General features: G+C 53.3%; 1 protein-coding gene, 1 long non-coding RNA gene, 1 other non-coding gene and 1 pseudogene across 6 annotated transcripts in view, besides 5 other annotated features; 1 reads left to right on the plus strand and 3 right to left on the minus strand.

The window, feature by feature from the left end:
- The window catches only part of LOC105372717 (uncharacterized), a 17,532-nt gene extending 8,107 nt beyond the window's left edge, over positions 1-9,425 (plus strand). The window contains exons 2-4 of one of the 3 annotated variants that reach the window (XR_936988.4): positions 5,232-5,380; positions 5,501-5,636; positions 6,025-9,425. This is a non-coding gene — a long non-coding RNA (uncharacterized LOC105372717). The remainder of the gene's footprint in view (positions 1-5,231; positions 5,381-5,500; positions 5,637-6,024) is intronic. The other 2 variants (XR_936989.4, XR_007067712.1) reach the window with 2 other exon arrangements.
- On the minus strand, positions 2,432-3,739 carry ARF4P2 (ARF GTPase 4 pseudogene 2; annotated as a pseudogene).
- Positions 5,793-6,447: an enhancer, noted in NCBI's record as "H3K4me1 hESC enhancer chr20:61506686-61507340 (GRCh37/hg19 assembly coordinates)". NCBI's record gives its function as "activates a minimal SCP1, AML or CMV promoter by ChIP-STARR-seq in naive H9 embryonic stem cells {active_cell/tissue: H9 hESC(naive)}" and the evidence as "EXISTENCE:reporter gene assay evidence [ECO:0000049][PMID:30033119]".
- Positions 6,448-7,101: an enhancer, noted in NCBI's record as "H3K27ac-H3K4me1 hESC enhancer chr20:61507341-61507994 (GRCh37/hg19 assembly coordinates)". NCBI's record gives its function as "activates a minimal SCP1, AML or CMV promoter by ChIP-STARR-seq in naive H9 embryonic stem cells {active_cell/tissue: H9 hESC(naive)}" and the evidence as "EXISTENCE:reporter gene assay evidence [ECO:0000049][PMID:30033119]".
- Positions 8,202-17,361, minus strand: part of DIDO1 (death inducer-obliterator 1) — a 60,162-nt gene continuing 51,002 nt past the window's right edge. For both annotated transcript variants that reach the window (NM_033081.3, NM_001193369.2), the window contains exon 16: positions 8,202-12,873. In NM_033081.3, coding sequence (NP_149072.2) covers positions 9,692-12,873 — 3,182 coding nt within the window. In that variant the 3' untranslated portion in view covers positions 8,202-9,691. The remainder of the gene's footprint in view (positions 12,874-17,361) is intronic.
- Positions 9,756-10,050: a silencer, noted in NCBI's record as "tiled region #11652; HepG2 Repressive DNase matched - State 18:Pol2". NCBI's record gives its function as "represses a minimal TATA promoter and a strong SV40 promoter by Sharpr-MPRA in HepG2 cells {active_cell/tissue: HepG2}" and the evidence as "EXISTENCE:reporter gene assay evidence [ECO:0000049][PMID:27701403]".
- Positions 10,967-11,167: a silencer, noted in NCBI's record as "peak4302 fragment used in MPRA reporter construct". NCBI's record gives its function as "represses an SCP1 promoter by STARR-seq MPRAs in K562 erythroleukemia cells {active_cell/tissue: K562}" and the evidence as "EXISTENCE:reporter gene assay evidence [ECO:0000049][PMID:32103011]".
- Positions 13,265-13,362, minus strand: SNORA117 (small nucleolar RNA, H/ACA box 117). The gene has a single exon (NR_145839.1). It is a non-coding gene; the product is annotated as a small nucleolar RNA, H/ACA box 117 (small nucleolar RNA).
- Positions 16,193-16,723: an enhancer, noted in NCBI's record as "H3K4me1 hESC enhancer chr20:61517086-61517616 (GRCh37/hg19 assembly coordinates)". NCBI's record gives its function as "activates a minimal SCP1, AML or CMV promoter by ChIP-STARR-seq in naive H9 embryonic stem cells {active_cell/tissue: H9 hESC(naive)}" and the evidence as "EXISTENCE:reporter gene assay evidence [ECO:0000049][PMID:30033119]".

Here is a 17,361-nt window from a genome sequence, read left to right on the forward strand (position 1 = left end):
TCGGCCTCCCAAAGTGCTAGGATTACAGGCATGAGCCACCCCACCCAGCCCAAAATTATTTTTAAATAATGTTAGCCCTGTAATCCCAGCGCTTTGGGAGGCTGAGATGGACGGATCATTGGATGCCAGGAGTTCGAGACCAGCCTGGCCAACGTGGCGAAATCCTGTCTCTACAAAAAAATACAAAAATTAGCTGGGCGTGGTGGCGGGCACCTGTAATCCCAGCTACTCAGGAGGCTGAGGCAGGAGAATTGCTTGAATCCGGGAGGCAGAGGTTGCAGTGAGCCGAGATCGTGCCACTGCACTTCAGTCTCAGTGACAAAGTGAGACACTGTCTCAAAAAAAAAAAAAAAAAAAAAACAAAACTTAGAAATAAATTTGATGAAAGATGTAAAAGACTGTACACTGAAAACTACAAAATACTGTTGAAATAAATTAAAAAGATGGACAAATATAGAGATATACTATGTTCATGGATTGGAAGGTTCGATAGTGTTAAGATGTCTGTTATTCCCAAAACTGATGTATGCAGTTCCAATAAAAACCCAGCAGTGTCTTAGTCCATTTGTGCTGTCATAACAAGACACCTTAGACTGGGTCACTTATAAACAACAAAAATGTATTGCTCCTAGTTCTGGAAGCTGGAAAGTCCCAGATCAAGGCACCAGCATATGTGATGGCTGATGAGGGCCTGTTCCGCTCAGATGCTGCCTTCCTGCCACATCCTCATGTGGCAGAGAGAGAAAATCAGCTCCCCCAGGCCTCTTGTAAAAGGGCACTAATCCCATTCATGATGGCTCTCCCGTCATGACCTAGTCACCTCCTAAAGGCCCCTCTTCTTATTTTTTATTTATTTATTTTTTTGAGATGGAGTCTCGATTTATTGCCCAGGCTGGGGTGCAATGGCATGATCTCGGTTCACTGCAACGTCTGCCTCCCGGGTTCAAGCAATTCTTCTGCCTCAGCCTCCTGAGTAGCTGGGATTACAGGCACGTGCCACCACGCCTGGCTAATAGTTTTGTATTTTCAGTAGAGACAGGGTTTCACCATGTTGGTCAGGCTGGTCTTGAACTCCTGACCTCAGGTGACCCGCCCGCCTCGGCCTCCCAAAGTGCTGGGATTACAGGCGTGAGCCACCGCACCCGGCCATTGTTTTAAAGACCCCTCTTCTTAATGCCACCACAGTGCAGATTAGGTTTCAGTATGAATCTTGGAGGGATACAAACTCAGACCGCAGCAAGCAGGGTTTTTTTTCTTTCTTTCTCTCTCAAATTCTTGGAAGGTTGAGCAGGGCAGGGTCACCAGGCCTGCCGGCAACTGCTCCCCTTCCTCTCATCCTCCTGTAGCTTCTTGGACTCCTGGGCCAATTGATTTTTCTGTTCCGTGATGTGGAGTGATCAAAGCTGGTTCTGGGTTTTCTGGAGCTGGATCTTTGATTGCCTTTGATTTAAAAGCATTGGTAACCGTTTCTCACGGGAAAGAGGCGCTGATAATTCATGCAAATGAGCATCAATGGGCAAAATTCAACCAAGTGCCTCTGGAACCAAGGCTGCCATTGAACATTCTAGTAAAAATGGGGTGGAGGCTTTTGCCCAAGTGCTCTGGATAATCTGGGAAAAGAAAATGGTGAGTCAGTGCTTTATTTTATTTATTTATTTATTTATTTATTTGTTTGTTTTTGAGGCGGAGTCTTGCTCTGTCACCCAGGCTGGAGTGCAGTGGTGCGATCTCGGCTCACTGCCACCTCTGCCTCCTGGGTTCAAACGATTCTCCTACCTCAGCCACCCAAGCAGCTGGGATTACAGGCACATGCCACGATGCCTGGCTATTTTTTGTATTTTTCTGGTAGAGACAGGGTTTCACCATGTTGGCCAGGCTGGTCTCGAGCTCCTGACCTCAAGTGATCTGCCTGCCTCGGCCTCCCAAAGTGCTGGGATTACAGGTGTGAATCACCGTGCCCAGCCGAATTTTTTTTTTCTTTTTTTTTCTTTTTAGATGGAGTCTCTGTCACCCAGGCTGGAGTACGGTGGCACGATGTTGGTTCACTGCAACGTCCGCCTCCTGGGTTCAAGCGATTCTTCTGCCTCAGCCTCCCGAGTAGCTGGGATTACAGGCACGTGCCACCATGCCCAGCTAATTTTTTTAGTAGAGACGGGGTTTGGGGTTTCACCATGTGAGCCAGGATGGTCTCGATCTCCTGACCTCATGATCCCCCCGCCTCGGCCTCCCAAAATGCTGGGATTACAGGCATGAGCCACCGTGCACGGCCTTTTTTTTTTTTTTTTTTTAAATAGAGGCAAGGTTCACCATGTTGCCCAGCCTTGTCTCCAACAAGCTCAAGGGATTCACCTCCTCACAGACAGTGCTCCCACAGGCGTGAGCCACCACGCCCCACCTTATTTATTTTTATGTATCTTAACTTCCAAGGTGGATTTATTTAAAGGTTTTACAATAACTATGTCCAGGCTTTAGGCTCATGGGAAGTAAATGAGGACACCTTTTTCCCAAGAAGAATTTCTTTAAAACCAAGCACATTGCTAAATAACAACATTATATTTGGCAAACAATAATTGGCAACAAAATAAGTTTATTATTCTGCCCAAGCCAGTCCCAGATGCTGTTTCTTAACCAAGATACAAACAAATTTTGCTGTAGCAAGTCTAGACCAATTTTATCAAACATGTCTTTGGTTAGATGTCTAGTTTCATTTAACGTTTTGAAAACTCATTTGACAGCCAGTCAAGTCCCTCATCTACACCAGCTCCGTGTTGCACAAGTGGCTTGAACATACCATGTCCTGTTAGGAAGAGACTGAAGAGCTGGCTGGCTCATCTGTCGTCACACTGATGGCCCGAGCGCTGGGCAAACCCTGTTTGTTTGCAGAGAGCAGTGGCGCTGCGTCTCCACACTCACCGGCCAGAAGCCTTTTCTGCAGCGCGTCCGCCACTTCCCGAATTCTTTCATGATCGTTGCTATCTACCAGCAAAAGAAAACCCTGGGTATTCTGGAAGTAATGCTTCCAGAGAAGCCTAATTACATCTTGACCATGAACATCCCACACCATGAAACAAGTGTTCTCTTTTTGAGTCAGAGTCTCGCTCTGTCATCCAGGCTGGAGTGCAATGGCGCAATCTCAGCTCACTACAACTTCCACCTCCCGGGTTCAAGCAATTCTCCTGCCTCGGCCTCCCGAGTAGCTGGGATTACAGGAGCCCACCACTATGCCTGGCTAATTTTTGTATATTTAGTAGAGACAGGGTTCCACCATATTGGCCAGGCTGGTCTTGAACTCCTGACCTTGTGATCTGCCTGCCTCGGCCTCCCAAAGTGCTGGGATTATAGGCATGAGCTACCGTGCCTGGCCCAAAACAAGTGTTCTTATATTCTACTCTTTCCATGTTAAAACCAATGGCAGGAACTGTGGTGAGTACCTCCCCTAACTTCAGTTTATACACAATGTATAGGCAGCATCCAATCGAACCGTCCAAATGTGCATCTGCTTCTTGCTGAAGAGGCGGGAGAAGAGAGAGGAGATGGCGGGGACCATGGGTTCGTGGCACTTGTGATGGGCAGAAGCAGAGGGGCTTGGGGGGCCCTGTGCTTTCTTCTTTCATGCTTCCAGGCAAATTGAACAAGGGGGAAGAGAAAGAACTGAGGAAGAAAGAGGGAGGCAGGGACATCTCACTGGCCCATGTGCTGGTGAAGCTGTAGACAGGAATTAGCAGGACGAGGACCTGCTGGTGATGGACACAGCAGCTCCAGCTCTCGATGCTTTAAATGCCTGGCTTGGAGTCTGAAAAAGGAACCTGAAAGCCTCTATGACTGCCTTAAAGTAAGTCCTTATCTCCTGTAGCCATGGGGCTGAGATTTCTGCAAAGCAAACCTGAAGCCTAGTCTCCTGGATGATTTAATTACAGCCTAAACTGCAGTTTCGACTTTGCAGTGCCTCTTTTGTTAAAGTTAGGGAAGTTGGGAAAGAATGGGAACCTGACGTTGCAATGGGGGCATGTGGGCGGCAAGCCACCCAGGTGCCGAGGCAAGAGACCGAGGGCACGAGCTGTTCCAGTGTAATAAAATATATAAAACAACAAGAGTTATACCAGATACAGATCATAGACATGATTATATATGAATATCTTTCATCATTAGTTTGTAGCAATTACTCTTTATAATGCTTGCTCTATAATCATAATCTAGGAAAAACCAGGCCATACAGAGACAGGAGCTGAGGGGACATGGTGAGAAGTGACCAGAAGACAAGAGTGTGAACCTTCTGTTACGCCCGGACAGGGCCACCAGAGGGCTCCTTGGTCTAGCGGTGACGCCAGCGTCTGGGAAGACGCCCGTTGCCAGACGGACCGTGGTCTAGCGGTAGCCTCAGTGTCACGGAAAAACACCCGCTACTTAGCAGACGGGGAAAGGGAGTCTCCCTTTCCCCGGGGGAGTTTAGAGAAGACTCTACTCCTCCACCTCTTGCGGAGGGCCTGACATCAGTCAGGCCCGCCCGCAGTTATCCGGAGGCCTAACCGTCTCCCTGTGATGCTGTGCTTCAGTGGTCACGCTCCTAGTCCGCCTTCATGTTCCATCCTGTGCACCTGGCTCTGCCTTCTAGATAGCAGCAGCAAATTAGTGAAAGTACTGAAAGTCTCTGATAAGCAGAAATAATGGCGTAAGCGGTCTCTGTCTCTCCCTCTCTGTCTCTGCCTTGGCTGCCAGGCAGGGGAGGGCCCCCTGTCCAGTGGACACGTGACCCACGTGACCTTACCTATCACTGGAGATGACTCACACTCCTTACCCTGCCCCTTTTGCTTTGTATCCAATAAATAACAATGCAGCCAGACATTCGGAGCCACTACCGGTCTCTGCGCATTGGTGGTAGTGGTTCCCCGGGCCCAGCTGTCTTTTCTTTTATCTCTTTGTCTTGTGTCTTTATTTTTACACTCTCTCGTCACCACACACAGGGAGAAGCCCACCGACCCTGTGGGGCTGGTCCCTACAGGGGCATGTGGGAAGATCCCAGTGAAGCTGAGGACCACGAGCCCTGCAAGTCCATTGGGATCTGCCGGTGAACTCCGCAGGTCGTCTTTGAAGGCACATGTGGCTCTTCTGCCACTGCCTGGGGAGCTGAGACCCCTTTGCCCAAAGACCCTCAAGTGCCTTCCCTAGGGAGCTGCCCTGTAAGGTGCCGCCGTCCTGCCCGGGACTCACCACCACCTCTGTGTTCCTTCTAGACCTAGATCCAGACTGGAGTTCCAGCAGGCCCCAAAAGAGAAAGTGTGAGGTGTGGCCTACAAATATGTTTCCCTACGAAAACCTGCGGAAAATGTGTGGAAATCGATGTTGAGAGTGCGGGATCTGGGTGGGAGGAATATAAGCTTGCGTAAGTGGACAGGGACTCAGATACGAGATTCTGGATTTGATGCGTTGGAGGGAACGGCTGGGAGTGACCCACCCCCCACCCCCATTTTCTTCATCAGTCACCGAAACTTTCGCCCCACAGGTAGCTGACCCTAAATTCAGTGAAATCCAGAACTTTCCTGGCACACTGGAGAGGACGGCAGAACGCTGGGATGGATTTATCGTGCAAGACCAGCTTGATGTCCTTAGGGCTTGGAGGTCACCCCTTCACGAGGATTGTGAGGAGTGAATTCATCGGGGAGCCCCGCACCCTCACCTGCACCCTCACCCCCACCCCCACCCCCACCCCCACCCCCACCCGCACCCCCACCCCCACCCTCCCCCCCACCCGCACCCGCACCCCCACCCTCACCCGCACCCCCACCCTCACCCCCACCCTCACCCCCACCCTCACCCCCACCCCCACCCTCACCCGCACCCCCACTCGCACCCGCACCCCCACCCTCACCCGCACCCCCACCCTCACCCCCACCCTCACCCCCACCCTCACCCCCACCCCCACCCTCACCCGCACCCTCACTCGCACCGCACCCTCACTGGCACCCTCACCCACACCGCACCCACACCCACATCGGGGAAGAGCTCCATGATCATTCTTTTCTGTAGGCGAAAAACTGCGGCGGGAACTGCTGCCATGCAGCTGGGCTCCCAATGCAGTGGGGATGGTGGCGCTCTGGGCTGGCGGGAGCTATCCTGCCGGACGTGATTCCCAGCACAGCCGTGAGCGGCAGCAGAGGCGCAGTCATCTGACCCACATAGTTCCTGCGTTGCCTGATGGGCGCAGCTTCCCTAGAACTGAAAAAAAAGGACATCCTGCCAAAGGCGTCCCCGTTCTGTGCTGGCAGAAAGGCTGTAGGTCCGAGAGCAGGAGTCCTGCGCTCTGACTGGAAGCCCCAACACAGAGTCCGGGGCCCTCGGCCAAGTTCCAGACTCTGGACAGACCCAGGCCCCTGGAATGAAGGACAGACTGAGTCTCCGAGAGGAAGGGGCCCTGCTAAATGCCAAAAACATGCAGCTAATCTTCCCACCGCCCCTTCCCAAAGGAATCTTCCTCTGTTTATCAGGAGTCTGTGCAACGGGAATGGGAAATAATCAGGCCTTTTAGGAATTACTAGACCCTGGAGCTGAAAGGACATTCATTTCAGGAGGCCCAGATGCCAGGCAGAGCTGTGGTTTATGGAGGCGGACGACGGAGTTGGTTCAGGTTTTCCTCTGAGGAGGCCCAGTGAGCCTCCCGGCCTCCTGTGGAACAGACATACTCAGCCAATGGCAGGGTCCCCACATGGTCCCCTGAGCCCTGGAGTGAGGTCGGCTGGGAGCAGCAGAGCAGCCGGAGGAGGAGGAGCAAACCCCAGGCCACAGCGTGCTCCTGGAGGGACCCCGATTTTGTCAAAATTTAGATGCAGAGAGAAAAAGATTAAGGAAAATACCAAATTAACGACAGCAGTGACTGCTGGGTGTGACGTTTTGGGCAGGCTTGGTTCTTCTCCCTTTTGCTAGGTGTCCCACAGGAAGACGGACCCAGCATGTGGGGACCTGCACCCAGCCAGTCTCGCCCTGGCTCAGCCTGTTCACTGGCGCTGCCCTGCCACTGAGGGCTGAGGTCACTGTCCGTCTGGGCATGTCTCATGTGGTCTTTCCTTTTCTCCCCTTCTGGTTAGGCCCCCTGAGCTCAGCCACAGCCACGATCCCCACTGCCGCCTCCTCCCTGGGACTCGCTGATGCCTGGTGTGGGGAGGGTGCTGGCTGCTTTGGGTGTTACCCCCCGTTGGAGGCCCCCGTGCCGAGTTCTCGAGTGAGATGGCTCTTTCCATTTTCCCCCGACAGCTGCCTCGGCCTCTGTGCTAGAACAGGGAGCTACAGCTCAGTGACCCTGTGGTGCCTTGTGGGCCTGTGGGTGCCAGGGCTCCGGGGCCTGGGCCTTTTCCTGCTTGGTGTGGCTGACCGGGACGCGGCCGACCCCAGGGGCATACTGGAGCTAGGTCTTCCTCGCCATGTTTCCACAGTGAGCCCTTTGGCTGCACAGGTCACGGTCTGGAGCTGTTGGAGGAGGCTGCTCAGAGCTGTTGCTGCCCCACCAGACACTTGGCCAAGGGGCCTGCACCGGTCTGCGCGGGAACGTCCCACCGGCGTCTGCTCATGGCTGGGCTGTGGACCCATACGCTTGTTCGGAAGCCAAGCTCTGGCCCACAGGCGACCAGAGGAAGCTCGCAGGCCAGGCGCCAGCTCCCCGAGCCTGTCCCTGCAGCCGCGCTGTGTGCAGGCACGTGGGCCACCGCGTCTCCTCCACTGGCACTGCTGGGTCTGGGCCGCCAAGCCCACCTGCCCACCTGCATCCTCAGCAGCAGCACGCCCCGCAGTCGGCGGGTGCACACTCTGCTGCAGCCTGGATGGGCTGGGGCCTCGGGGCTCACTCCCCAACCATGAGACTCCTTCACCGCAGTTGAGGCTGTTGCAGTGGTCTCGGGCTCCCACTCAGCCCCAGGAGAGGGTCTGAAGGGGGTGAGTCCCTCCTCCCGACCTTCCTGCCCATCGTCTCCAGAGCTGGATGGTGCTGGGTCCCCACAGGGAGCGAGACAGCTGCCCCGTGACGGAAGGATGTGGGGACCCGCACCCGGCCGGTCTCACCCTGGGCTCAGCATGAGTTCAGGGAGGGGTCCAAAGGGCACTCCTGCCCACGCCCAGGCAAACCAGCAACAAGAAACTGGGTGGCCAGGGCGTCCGTGCACGACCCCAAACTTCTCCGCGTTAGAAAAAGGCTGATGAAGACCCGAGACAGAAACTTCCTGTAGCTGTTTATTCTACTGCGAGTAACAAAACCTAGGTCGTTCCATGTTCTCATGTACAGTGATATAAGCCTCCGCAATATAAAATACAATGTACAGGAATCTCTATCAAGTAAACTAAAGAAACACACTTGATTTTTACATTTGTGTATTTAAATTAGAAAAATTTGCTTTATATGTTAAACAAACAAAACCTTCTCATCGTACTAGATGTTGGAACGTGACACCTACTTTAATGTAATTTAACCTATGGACACTTGGCTTTCAACACCAAACATCTCAAACTGATACATTCTCAATGTTTTCTTAACTTAAAAAATCTGTGCTATAAAGTGAAAAATCTGTAGTGACGTACAATGGAATAACAGACTCCAAAGAACAAGTGAAGTTCTTTAATTTTACATCTGTAAAAGTTTATGAAAATATAAAAAATTATCAAAGTGTATTTGTACAAATAAATTAGCCAGATTTTTTTACTTCACACTTCAGAAGTACTCGAAAAATACACGACAAGCAAGAGACTGTTTCACAGTGAACAGCTTCCTGTCTCATTTGCAGTTCTTGAGCTAGTGATCACTAGTTCCCGTCTCAGACTTTACACAAGTCTTGTTCCACGTTCAAGGACAAACTTTTACATGTATCGTCTGACAAATACCAGTTTGGGGCCGAGCGTACTTTTCCCGGGATACAGAAGAACTGCTCAGAAGGCGAAACTGGACCAACAAAACTCCTGATTATTCAAATCAAGGACTCCTCCCTGCCCCCAAAGTACACTTAATTGGTTTGTTACTTTTTTTAGGCTGGTAAAACTTAACATTTTTCAATAAATTGTTATTTAAAATGCAACAATTATACTAGGACAGATGTTGCTTTAAATCATGTTTTGGAAAAAATTGATAAGGTGATATATAAAATCTGAGCACGCTAAGAAATGTGTTTCTGTTTCCCAGTTGAAAATTGTAATTCCAATTTTATGACAAAAGAAAGATGCATTTGTAAGGTTTGTGTTTCTCAAGACTCCAGATACAAGCTACTAAGACTTCTCCCGTAGCCGCAGGGTGGACGCCTGCAGGTCACGCCCACACCGGCCTCCGGGGCGGCGGCTAAGACCTGTAAAAGCAGCTTTTGGAAACACAAACGGATGAGATGTCAGTGAAGGTATGGCTCTAGGGTCCAACGAAACTCCCTTAAAATTTACAATAAAGTTATTGGAAAAGATAACTATGATCTGAAAAGCAATATGCTCCGTAGGCAATTTCCCATTTCTTTTAATTTTAAATGGAAATATTAAAGTTTAGTTTTTTTAAAAAAGCATCAGAATTGTAAAGATGTGAAATCTTGTAAGAAACCATTTACACAAAATTACAGTAATGTTTAAGTCCAGAATATTCTATCCTGAATCTAAGATCGTGGCTATTTCAAAAGCTATTTGTTCAACGCATCTTACGAACGTGGCTTTAAAAAGGGTCTCTGCCCGGCCGGGGCGTCTAGGCCTGCGAGGCGGTGCCAGCGTCGGAGGCCCTCGAGGCCTCGGGCTTCGGGTCCCGAGCGCTCTCTTTGCTCTTGCTCCGGTCCTTGCGGTCGCGGCCCCGCTCCCTGTCCCTGGCCTTGTCTCGGTCCCGCTCTCTGCTCCGGGACCGGTCCCGGTCGCGCCTCCGGTCTCGCTCGCGCTCTCGGTTCCTGCTCCGCTCCCGGCTGCGGTCCCACTCCTTGCCCCGGTCGGCCTCGCGCTCTCGGTCGCGGTTGGCGCTCCTCTCCCGGTTTCTGTCCCAGTCCCGGCTGGAGTCCTTGTCCCGGTGTCGGTCCCACTCCCGGGGCCGGTCCCAGTCCCGCTCTCGGCTCCAGTTTCGGCCGCGCTCGCGCTCTCTCCTCCTGTCCTCGGACGCCCGGCCCTGGGCGTCGGGCTCCTCCAGCGGCTTCTCTTTGGGCCCCACGTCAAACCGCTCTCTCTGCCTCCCTTCGAAAGTCTGGTTTCTGTATTCGTGGCCTTTCCCCTCTCGGAAGTCGGCCGATGCCCACTGTCCGTCGGCCTCGGGGCCCTGTCCGGGCGCACTGGAGGAGAGCGCGGAGGGCGGCCCGGCCTCCTCCCAGCGGTCCTTCCGGTGCTGCGGGGGGTGGCTGGGAAGCTCCAGCAGGGGCCTGGGGCCCGGCTTCATCACCTGCGGGGCCTGGCCCTGGAAGTGAAATCGCGAAGGGGTCTGCTCATTTTTTTCAGAAAAGGGTGCGGACCCCCGTAGTCCACCAAACTGCAGGGGTGCAGGCGCCCTTTGGTTTGTGAATCTTGGTGGTGAATGGACCCTCTGGTCTTCGAACTGCTGAGGCTGAATGCCCCTGGGACCTGGCATAAAGTTAGGCGCTTGGCCTCTGGGTCCTTCAAACTGGTTGGGATGAGGGCCCCGGGCAGTTTCAAACTGACTAGGATGGGGCCCTCTTGGGCCCACGAAATGACCAGGGGGTGGTCCTCTCTGACCTCCAAACTGAGAGGGAGGGGGGCCGCCTCGGGGGCCTTTCAGCTGAGACAGCAGTGGCCTTCTCTGGCCTCCGAACTGGAAAGGCGCGCCGCCTCTGCTTCCCAGAAATGGGGCTTGCTCTGTCCCTTCAAACTGGGCGGGGGCGCCCGTCACCTCGTTATACGGGGCGTCCTGGAACTCCCTCTTCTCCCCATGGGGATCCTTGCGTTCTTCAAATTGGGATGGTGCCACTCCTCGTGGTCCACCAAGGTAAGAGGGTGAGGGGCCTCTGCTGTCCCCATAAGGAGGTGGCCCATGTTGCCCCGAGAATAAGGAAGGGATGGGCCCCTTCTGGGCTCCGAATCTGGCTGGCGGAGGCCCTCGTGGCCCATCGTTAGAAGCGATATTCTCTTCTGGAAACGGAGGGGCTGGCCCCCTTGGTCCCGGGAAATTGGGGCCGTGAAGCCCTGACATCCCCAAAGCATGAGGTCCAGGTTCCCGCTGACCCTGAAACGGGGGCTGAGAGCCCCCCACTTTCTGTCCTGGTGGGGGGAGCGGGGCGGTGCCCTCGCCGGGTCTGGCCTGTGGCTCTCTGTCCCCCTCTGTTTCACCTGCAGGGCTGCTGCTCCTTCCAGCAGAATGAAGATTTCTTGGGTCCTCATACTGGGCTGAGCCGAGAGCCTTGTCCTGCGACGCGAACCCCGGGCAGGTGAAAGGGTCCCTCTCACCGTCGTGCTGCAGCGGGAAGCCGGGCTGCAGGGCGCCGCAAGGCGGTGTGGGCAGCAGCACCCTCCGGGCAGGCCTGGCCGAGCTGTCTCCAACCGTGGCGGGGCGGGTGCCCTCCCCAGGCTCTGCCTTCCAGCCGTCCTGCTCGGACCCCGCTGGGGGCTTTTCGCCCGAAGCCCAGGGGGAAGAGGCTGGCTCTTTTTCCTCCGGGACTGGCATGGGCGCCTGGCCCACGAGGCCACCCCTGGAAGCATCTCTCTCGGGCAGGGCACCCTGGGCACCACGTGCCGAGAGCCTGGAGAGAGGCTCCCCCTCCCCCTCACCGGTCTCAGTGGCCAGGCGCCTCGCCTGCCGGGGGTCCCTGTGGTTTGACGCCTGGCTGGCGGGGGGCAGTGAGGCGGGCTTGTCTGCAGACTGCTGCTCTTGCTGGAACAGCTCTGCCTTGGGCAAGGACGACTTTGGTGGTGGAGACATCAAGGCGTCCGACACCGAGAAGTGGGCCATGGAGACCCCGACGGCGGCCCTCTGCTGCCTGAGAGCTTCTTCTTGCTCCTCCAGCTGTCTCTTCTGCTCCTCGATCTGTTTGTTCAGCTCTTCTAGCATCTTCTGTTGCTCCACCAGGGAGGGCGTCGCAGCCCCGGCCACCGGCTCGGCAGGCCTCTCCACGGAGTTCCTTCTCACGTCGGCACACATCCTGTTGGGCAGGTCATCAACAGTCACTTTCGCTTCTTCTAAGATGGTCTCATCCTCGGGGTCATAGGCCACCTCTTCCCGCTCGGCTGCAGCTGCTTCAGGAGCCCTTTCCACCTCGTGGCGCCGCCCTCGCTCCACAAGCTGAGTGTCGAAGGCCCTCTCCGGGTCGTACTCCTCCTCAGGGTCGTATGGCCTGTCGTCCTCCTCTTCCTCTAGAGCCTTATCTTTTGAGAACTGACCGAACTGCTGGACGATCGGATCTAACAACGGAGGTGCCGGCACCCCGTCCTCTGCTGTGGTTTTGGGCTCCTGGGGGAGACCTGCGGTGGACCCGGGAGGCTCTCTGGCGGACGGGTCGAATGATTTCTTCTTTCCAAAGAGAGTCTGCAGGATGTGCTCCAGCGGTGATGCTGTTTTGGAAGCAGACGAAGCGGTGGAGGAAGCTGCCGTGGAGGCTGCCGCTGCTGTTGTGGCTGCTGTGGCTGGGCTGGGGGCTGCAGGTTTGAGGGATGACAGCACTTTTAGCACCGGTGGTTCTGGAAGAGGGGGCGGAGGCGGCGGCGACCCAGGAGGTGTGGTGCTGACAGCCGCGTCTGCAGAGCAGAGTGGATACTTGGAGGGCTTCTTTTCCGACTGCGGGACTGTGGCTACTTTTGGATAGGCCGGAACGTCCGCTTCTTCCGGTTGAAGTCGGGTCCGCTTTTCGTCCATCTTGTCTAACTCTCCACTGTTTGCGGGACGTTTGATTTTTTGGCAGATTACTAACCCAAGAATTATATTCGGACGTGGTGACTCAAGACCTGAAAAACAAAATATTTGTGCAAATTTTAGAATCTAAATCCAGCTTTTACCCTTTAGAGGTGAATTTCATTAAGGGCTTTCACGGGGAACGTTTAATAGACAAAAATAAGCCATTCTGTGGCAAAATAAGATCAAGTGTCAAGACAGTTGCAAAAGCCTGGACGATTCCGCCCCAGGAACGCACCGCCCCGGGAACGAGCTGGGAACACACCGTGCCAGGAATGCACCAACCCAGTCCTCCCGGAGCCATGTGAAGGGGGCGACTAACCCCTCGTCACCAACCATGGAACCGAAGGCCCAATCCACAAGGGAATTCATCCCAATCGTCTGAATTTGTTACATATTTTAAATTATAATGCTAGAGCAGTAGTGTGGAGGGGAGGGAGGCCGTGGTGTGAGCCTGCAGGGTGAAAAGGGCATTGTCGCACATGCCCTCAACACAACAGCTCAGCTATGCTCTTCTTCCCCTCGTGCCACTGCCAGGAAGGTAACAAACAGCCTTTTTTTTTTTTTTTTTTTTTTTTTGAGATGGAGTGTCGCTCTGTTGCCCAGGCTGGAGCGCAGTGGCGCGAGCTCGGCTCACTATAACCTCTGCTTTCCAGGTTCAGGAGAATTCTCCTGTCTCAGCCTCCTGAGTAGCTGGGATTACAGGCATGCACCACTATGCCTGGCTAATTTTTGTGTTTTTAGTAGATAAGAGGTTTCACCATGTTGGCCAGGCTGGTCTCGAACTCCTGACCTCAGGTGATCCACCTGCCTCGGCCTCCCAAAGTGCTGGGATTACAGGCGTAAGCCACCGCACCCGGACCCCTTTTTGTCTTTAACTTAGGAGTTGCAACACATAATTACTCTAAATATACTAATATTAAATTATCAATAAAGTCATAATAATCAATAAAGCACAAGCCATGAGGTCATCCATTAGTCTCTGGTGTCAGAATTACAACTAGACAGGAAAAACAGCATTAAATGAAATGGCTAAAATAAATGCTTTGGACTGGGCATGGTGGCTCACGCCTGTAATTCCAGCACTTTGGGAGGCCAAGGCGGGTGGATCACAAAGTCAAGAGTTTGAGACCAGTCTGGCCAACGTGGTGAAACCCCGTCTCTACTAAGAATACAAAAATTGGGCCGGGTACGGTGGCTCACGCCTGTAATCCCAGCACTTTGGGAGGCTGAGGTGGGCGGATCATGAGGTCAAGAGATCAAGACCATCCTGGCCAACATGGTGAAACCCCGTCTCTACTAAAAATACAAAAATTAACTGGGTGTGGTGGCGCACACCTGTAGTCCCAGCTACTCAGGAGGCTGAGGCAGGAGAAATCGCTTGAACCCAGGAGGTGGAGGTTGCAGTGAGCCGAGATCACACCACTGCACTCCAGCCTGGGTGACAGAGTGAGACTCTGTCTCAAAAAAACAAAACAAAACAAAAAACAAAAATTAGCCAGGCGTGGTGGCGTGTGCCTGTAGTCCCAGCTACTCAGGAGGCTTGAGGCAGGAGAACTGCTTGAACCTGGGAGGCAGAGGTTGCAGTGAGCCGAGATCGTGCCACTGAACTCCAGCCTGGGCAACAGAGTGAGACTCTCTTGGAAAAAAGATAAAATAAATGTTTTGGGTTTAGAAATTCAGTGAGCATTAACATATCAAAGACTCCCTAAGGCTCATGTCTTTGTAAACACAGGACAGACACCACGCTCACGTAAAGCACCGAGGTGCTCAGCAAACAGGTGGCAAAGAGCAGAGCAGGTGGACGACGCGCACTGGGGGTTTTAAGGCACAGTATTAGTTTAAAAAAAAAATTATTCAAAGATATTCCCAACGTCGTAAGTTGTGGTAACTTCAATCAGGAGTACTAACATTCCAGTAACGACCATCCCCACACTCATAATCAATCAAGAATGCCAAAGGGGAATATAAAAACCCACATCCCAAAACAGGAGCTGAAGGAAAGTGATACACGTGGGTGGGACGTTTCAGCGGCAGCGACGTAACACTATGTGAGATTAAACCGTAACAACTCAACGGTACAGATAATTTAACGTGACTGTGGTATACAAAAGGTGCTCACACTACAGATTTTCTTCCCCTTACAGTGAAAACCAGTATGATTTCCCGTGCTTCAGGTGATGTTAAAGATCATCACGGACTGCTTCAGGCACCACCATGTAGTTCTAAGTACATCTGTTGTTCATCTCCCTAAATTCCACTAAGGAACTGATGGACAGGCTGAGCACGGAAGATGGGTGAAGGCAGGAATACCAGGCCTGCCAGACTGAGTTGGGACCAGCCTGCTCCACGGGACACTTCCTCCCTCCTGGAGAGAGGACCAAAGGCCTCTTCCTTCACAGGCTGCTGGACAGAGCTGAGATTCCCAGCACCTCACCTCCACCTCCTCTTCACTCTCTGTCCCCCGGATAGTAGCACGGTGCCAGTGAAAGGGCTGGGTGGGCAGAGGAGGAGGGAAGCAGGAAAACCAGCCGGGCCACACCGAAGGGCACAGCTGAGCTCTGCTGCTCAGCAAACCTGTCGAGTTCATGTTCTGCTTAACATGAGTTGAACATATTTTAAAACGGTATTTCTCTCAGCACAACAGCTATCTGTTTACTGAATAAGCTATTACACAGCTTACTCAAATCCACTTTTCGGGTATGTTCGGTTATGAAATTGGCTATTATGGCCTTCCTGGACCATACATCTGCAGAGCCCACCACGCCCTGGGGTGAAGGGCACTGAGGCTCAGGCTGAGTTCTGTAAGCCGGGCTCTGTAAGCCAGGCCCTCTGCCTGCAGAACCTGACACGGGGAACAGACACAGGCATGGGCTAGGCCTCGGGAAGGACCCTGGGCAGTAGGGCTTGTGGGGCCTCGTGTGGGGAAGTTACCTGGGGAAGCCTAGTGCTGACTCTGACACAGAGGGGACATGCCACCCAAGGGAGACACTCAGCTTCTAAAGGGCTGTTAGGGTGGCAGTGTGATGTACAAAATCACTGTTACGTGGTCCCGTCTCGTGGTGTGTCACTAGAACTCAAACTTTTAATGGCTAACTTGCTTGTTAATGAAAAAAATAATTAGTATATCCCAACCCTGGCAAGACTCGTTAGTCTTGAAAACAGCAACCGTCTGGAGATTGGCATCAAACACGCAGCTGGCACGTGTAAATGCTCCCAGCTCTTGGTGCTCTCAACTGCAAACACTGGTGACTGAATAAAGAAAGCTGCAGAGTCAGATGGGTGCTCGTTCTGAATTTCCCCGCCATTTAAAATTTAAATTGGGCTGTCCAAAAAGGCACACCCGCTGTGAAACAGTCAAATCTTGTCACCCAACTCATGTTTGTTATTATGTATGGTTGCATGAATATGTAAAATGTGGCAGGCGCCTTGGAAATAACTCTTCGTGGAAGGAGCAGTGCACTTCGCCTGGCTGGACCTTGGGAGCCATCTTCCCCTGGAGGAAAGGGTGTGCCTGCCACTGCCTGGCATGTCCAGCAGACCAGTAAGGTCGAAAGGTCACAGAGCCCCCACCTCAGGGGGGCAGTCGAGGTTGCCCAGGGGCTGTTCCCAGGCTAGCCCCTCCCCTCGGCAGCTGCCCCGTGGTGTGTGAGCCCTGGGAGGGAGAGTGCCCCGGGAAGGTGCAGAGACTGAGGCCTGCACGAAGCTGGCACCAGCCAGGTTGCGGGTGGCACAGGGCACGGTAGGCTTACTTACCCACCTTCCTCCTGAGGGCTACTGAGGGCCTCAGTTCATAAAGCAACCAGGGGCCGGGGCTCAGGAGCAACCAGGGACCAGGGCCTGGAGACGCCAGCTGCGGCTAAACGTGCCCCTGCACTTCCACTGAAGGGTACTGATCAGGCCTGGAACAAGGGTGTGGATGTTCCCCCAACGCCCTCTGAAAGGCCAGAAGGCAAATGGCTTTCTTCAGGGCGTACCACGTGCAAGCCAACAGGCCTTTTTAGCACATCTGTGTCCTTTGCGTATTCATGACGGAGGGGTCTGGACTCAGTGGTCAGAATCAGACCACACGCACAGGAAAAGAACTCAAGAAACTGAAGATAAAAGGGTGTATTCGAAAAGCTGTGTGGGCCAAGACCAAAACCAGGATCTGTGTCCAGGTGTGTCGCAACAGGGACTGGGGGACAAGGCAGCTGGCAAAGGGAACCACCTGCTTCTCAGGGTGCAGGAAGCACCCTCGGTACTGAACCTGAGGCTGCAGGAAGACGCTCCTTCTTACTAAATGAACCACCCGAAACCTGACTCCTCCCAACCCCAAACTATCACAGTGAGGCCTTTACCCCTAAAGCCACCTGGCACATCCCACTATCAGTGATTTAAAATGAAAACTCTCTCAATGGTCTGCACCTGTCAAAACAAAATGTTCACACCTGCTGGAACAGAAACGGTGTGGAAGTTAATCAACAAGGGGTGACGTATGACTTGGATAGAAAGACTTGGCAATTAAGGTGGGAAGAAGTGACTTCCCCCAACCCACCAAA

Source organism: Homo sapiens, chromosome 20, assembly GCF_000001405.40.
Source record: "Homo sapiens chromosome 20, GRCh38.p14 Primary Assembly".
NCBI lineage: Eukaryota > Metazoa > Chordata > Mammalia > Primates > Hominidae > Homo > Homo sapiens.